Source organism: Homo sapiens, chromosome 9, assembly GCF_000001405.40.
Source record: "Homo sapiens chromosome 9, GRCh38.p14 Primary Assembly".
Lineage (NCBI taxonomy): Eukaryota > Metazoa > Chordata > Mammalia > Primates > Hominidae > Homo > Homo sapiens.
In genome coordinates this window covers 42,262,124-42,266,315 of record NC_000009.12, presented here as the reverse complement: position 1 = coordinate 42,266,315, position 4,192 = coordinate 42,262,124, and positions in this window count along the sequence as shown.

Here is a 4,192-nt window from a genome sequence, read left to right as displayed (position 1 = left end):
CTGGCCTTCTTGGATGAGCCTCTCTCCTCCCATCTTTGGGACTACAATGGGGATTACCTCGTTTTTGTTTTTTTGAAGAAAGCATGGTTACATTTGTCTTATATATTTTTTAATTTGTATGAATTTATGGGTAACAAGTGCAATTTTGTTACATGCATAGTGGTCAAGGCAGAACTTTTAGGGTATCTATCACCCAAATGCTGTAGATTGTACCCATTAGTAATTTCTCATCATCCCCCCACAATTCTGAGTCCCCACTGCCTATCATTCCACTGTCTACATCCATGCAGACACTTTTTTTAGCACTCACTTATGAGCGACATCTTTCTATATCTGGCTTATTTCGCTTAAGATAATGACCTCCAGTTCCAACCATGTTGCTGCAAAATACATGATTTCATTCTTTTTGTGGCTGAATAGAATTCTATCAGGTATATATACCACATGTTCTTTATCCAGTCATCCACTGGTGGACCCTTAGGTTGATTCCATATCTTTTCTATTGTGAATAGTGCTGCAAGAAACATGAGTGTAGGTACCTCTTTGATATATTGATTTATTTTCCTTTGAGTAGATACCCAGTAGTAAGGTTGTGGGATCGAACAGTCGTTCTAGTTTTAGTTCTTTGGGAAATCTCTATTTTCAATAAAGGTTGTACTAATTTACATTCCCATCAACAGCATACAAACATTCCTTTTTCTCCATATCCTCACCAACATAGCAGATGAGACATTTTATCTTTTTAATAATAGCCATTTTAATGAAGATGATATCTTATTATGGTTTTAATTTACATTTCTCTGATGATTAGTGTTGAGCATTTTTTTTATATGCCCATGCTGGCCATTTGTGTGTCTTCTTTTGAAAAATGTCTATTTATATCCTTTGACCACTTTTAAAGAACATTATTTGTTCTTTTTCTTTTTTTTTTTTAATTTTTTTTTTTAGACAGAGTTTCCCTCTGTCGCCAAGGCTGGAGTGCAATGTGGAGTGCAGTGGTGCAACTTTGGCTCACTGCAACCTCCACCTCCCAGATTCAAGGGATTCTTGCCTCTCAGCCTCCCGAATAGCTGGGATTACATGTGCCCACCACCATGCCCGGCTAATTTTTGTAGTTTTAGTAGAAACGGGCTATCGCTATGTTGGCCAGGCGGGTCTCAAACTCTTTAAGTGGTCCAGTCCTCCTGGCCTCTGAAAGTGCTGGGATTATAAACGTGAGCCACCATGCCTGGCCTTGTTTGCGCTTTTTGTTGTTGTTGAGGGAGTTGTTTGAGCTTCTTCTATATTATGGATATTAGTCCCCTATGGGATAAATAGTTTTCAAATATTTTCTCCTGTGCATTGTCTGTTTACACACCTGGTTATTTCTTTTGCTGTGCAGAAGCTTTTTAGTTTAATTGTCCCATTTGTCTAATTTTGGTTTTGTTCCCTGTCCTTTTAGGTCTTAAGTCATAAATTCTTTGCCTAGACCAATGTCCAGAAGAATTTTCTCAAGGTTTTTAGTATTTTGATAGTTTTGGGTCTTATATTTAAGTCTTTAATACATCTTAAGTTGATTTTTGCATATGGTGAGAGATAAAGGTCTGTGTCCAGATTTGGTTCCTGCCAGTGGGTTGGTGGTCTCGCTGACTTCAAGAATGAAGTCACAGACCTTCACGGTGAGTGTTACAGCTTTTAAAGGTGGCACGGACCCAAAGAGTGAGCAGCAGCAAGATTCACTGTGAAAAGCGAAAGAACACAGCTTCCACACATGGAAGGTAACCCAAGCAGATTGCCACTGCCAGCTGAGGTGGCCAGCTTTTATTCCCTTATTTGTCCCTGCCCATGTTTGGTTTTTGTCCTATCAGAGTGCCCTTTTTTCAATCCTCCCTGTGATTGGCTACTTTTAGCTACTGCTGATTGGTGCATTTTACAGAGCACTGATTGGTGCATTTTACAGAGCGTTGATTGGTGCATTTTATAATCCTCTTGCTAGCTACAGAGCACTGATTGGTGCATTTTACGATCCTCTTTTAAGACAGAAAAGTTCTCCAAATCCCCACTCGACCCAGGAAGTCCAGCTGGCTTCACCTCTCAGGTTCTGTTTTATTTTCCTGCATATGGCTATCTAATTTCCCAGCACCGTTTATTGAAAAGGATGTCCTTTCTTCAGTGTCTCTTCCTGTTAGTTTTGTCAAAGACCAGTTGGCTGTAACTATGTCGTGTTATTTCTGGGTTCTGTATTTTGTTTTATTGATCTATGTGTCTGTTTTTACAGAAGTATTACACTGTTTTGGTTACCATAGCCTTGTAACATAATTTCATATCAGGTAACGTGATGCCTCCAGTTTTGTTCTTTTTGCTTAGAATTGATTTTGCTATTTGGGCTCTTTTTTCTGGTTCCATAAGGATTTAACATTGTTTTTTCTAATTCTGTGAAAAATGACATTGGTATTTTGATAGGGATTGCATTTCATCTATAGATTGCTTTGGGCATTATGGTCTTTTTTTTTTTTTTTTGAGATGGAGTCTTGCTCTGTTGCCCAGGCGTGATCTCAGCTCACTGCAAGCTCCGTCTCTCAGGTTCATGCCATTCTCCTGCCTCAGCCTCCCAAGTAGCTGGGACTACAGGTGCCCGCCACCACACCTGGCTAATTTTTTTTTTTTTTTGTATTTTTAGAGACGGGGTTTCACTGTGTTAGCCAGGATGGTCTTGATCTCCTGACCTCATGATCTGCCTGCCTCAGCCTCCCAAAGTGGGTCATTTTAACAATATTAATTTTTCTGATCCATAAGCATGGAATATTTTTCCATTCGTTTGTCTCACTGACAGTTTCTTTCATCAGTGTTTTATAGTTTTCCTTGTAGAGATGTTTCACCTCCTTGCTTAAATGTATTCCTAGGTAGTTTATTTTTTGTAGCTCTTGTAAATAAGATTTCCTTCTCAGCTAGTTTGTTATTGGTGTATAGAAATGCTACTGATTTTTGTATATTACTTTTGTATCAATTTTACTAAATAAACTTACTAAATTCATTTATCAAATCCAAGAGTGTTTTGGTGGAGTCTCTAGGTTTTTCTAGACAGGTAATCCTATCATCAGCAAATGGAAATAATTTGATTTTCTCTTTTCCTATTTGAATGTCTTTTAATTCTTTCTCTTACCTGATTGCTGTGGCTAGGACTTCTAATACTATATCAAATAGGAGTGGTGAAAGTGGGAATACTTGTTTTGTTCCAGTTCTTGAGAAAATGCTTTCAACCTTTCCCCCATTCAGTATGATGTTGGTTGTGGGTTTGTCATATAAGCCTTTTATTATTTGAGGTATGTTACTTCCATGTCAAGTTATTTGAGGGTTTTTTTTTTATCATGAAGGGATGCTGAATTTTATCAAATGATTTTTCTGCATCTATTGAGGTTTTTAATCCTTCATTCTATTTTCGTGATGTATCACATTTATTAATTTGCATATGTTGAACTATCCTTCCATTCCTTATGTACAACCCACTTGATCATTGTGTATTACCTTTTTGATGTGCTCTTGAATTCCATTTGCTAGTATTTTGTTGAGGATTTTTGTGTCTATGTTTATCAGAGATATTGGCATGTAGTTTTCTTTTTTTGTTTTGTTTTGTCTTTGTCTGGTTTTAGTATCAGAGTGATACTGGCCTTGTTACATGAGGAATGAAGAAGTCCCTCCTCCCAGATTATTTGGAACAGTTTCAGGAAGATTGGTATTAGTTCTTTGTACATTTTATGGAATTCAGCTATGAATCCATCAGGTCCTGGACTTTTTTTTTCCATGGGAAATTTATTTATTACTGATTCAATCCTGCTACTCATTATTGGTCTATTCTGGTTTTCAGTTTCTTCCTTCTTCAATCTTAGGAGGTTGTATGTTTCCAGGAATTTAGCCATTTCCTGGGGATTTTTTTGGTTTGTGAGCATGTAGTTGTTCATAATAGTCACAGATGAAATTTTGTTTTTCTGTGGTATCACTTGTAAGTCTTCTTTTCATTTCTGATTTTGTCTCTTCTCTTTTCTTGGTTGCTAGCAGTTTATCAATTTTGTTTCTCTTTTCAAAGAACCAACTTTTTGTTTCATTGCTCCTTTGAATGGTATTCTTACATAGATGCAATGATAATATGTCCTATAGGCTTTAGAAGAATCTTAGTGCATTGTCAAAGAAACATTTTTAGTTGAGCACATACATT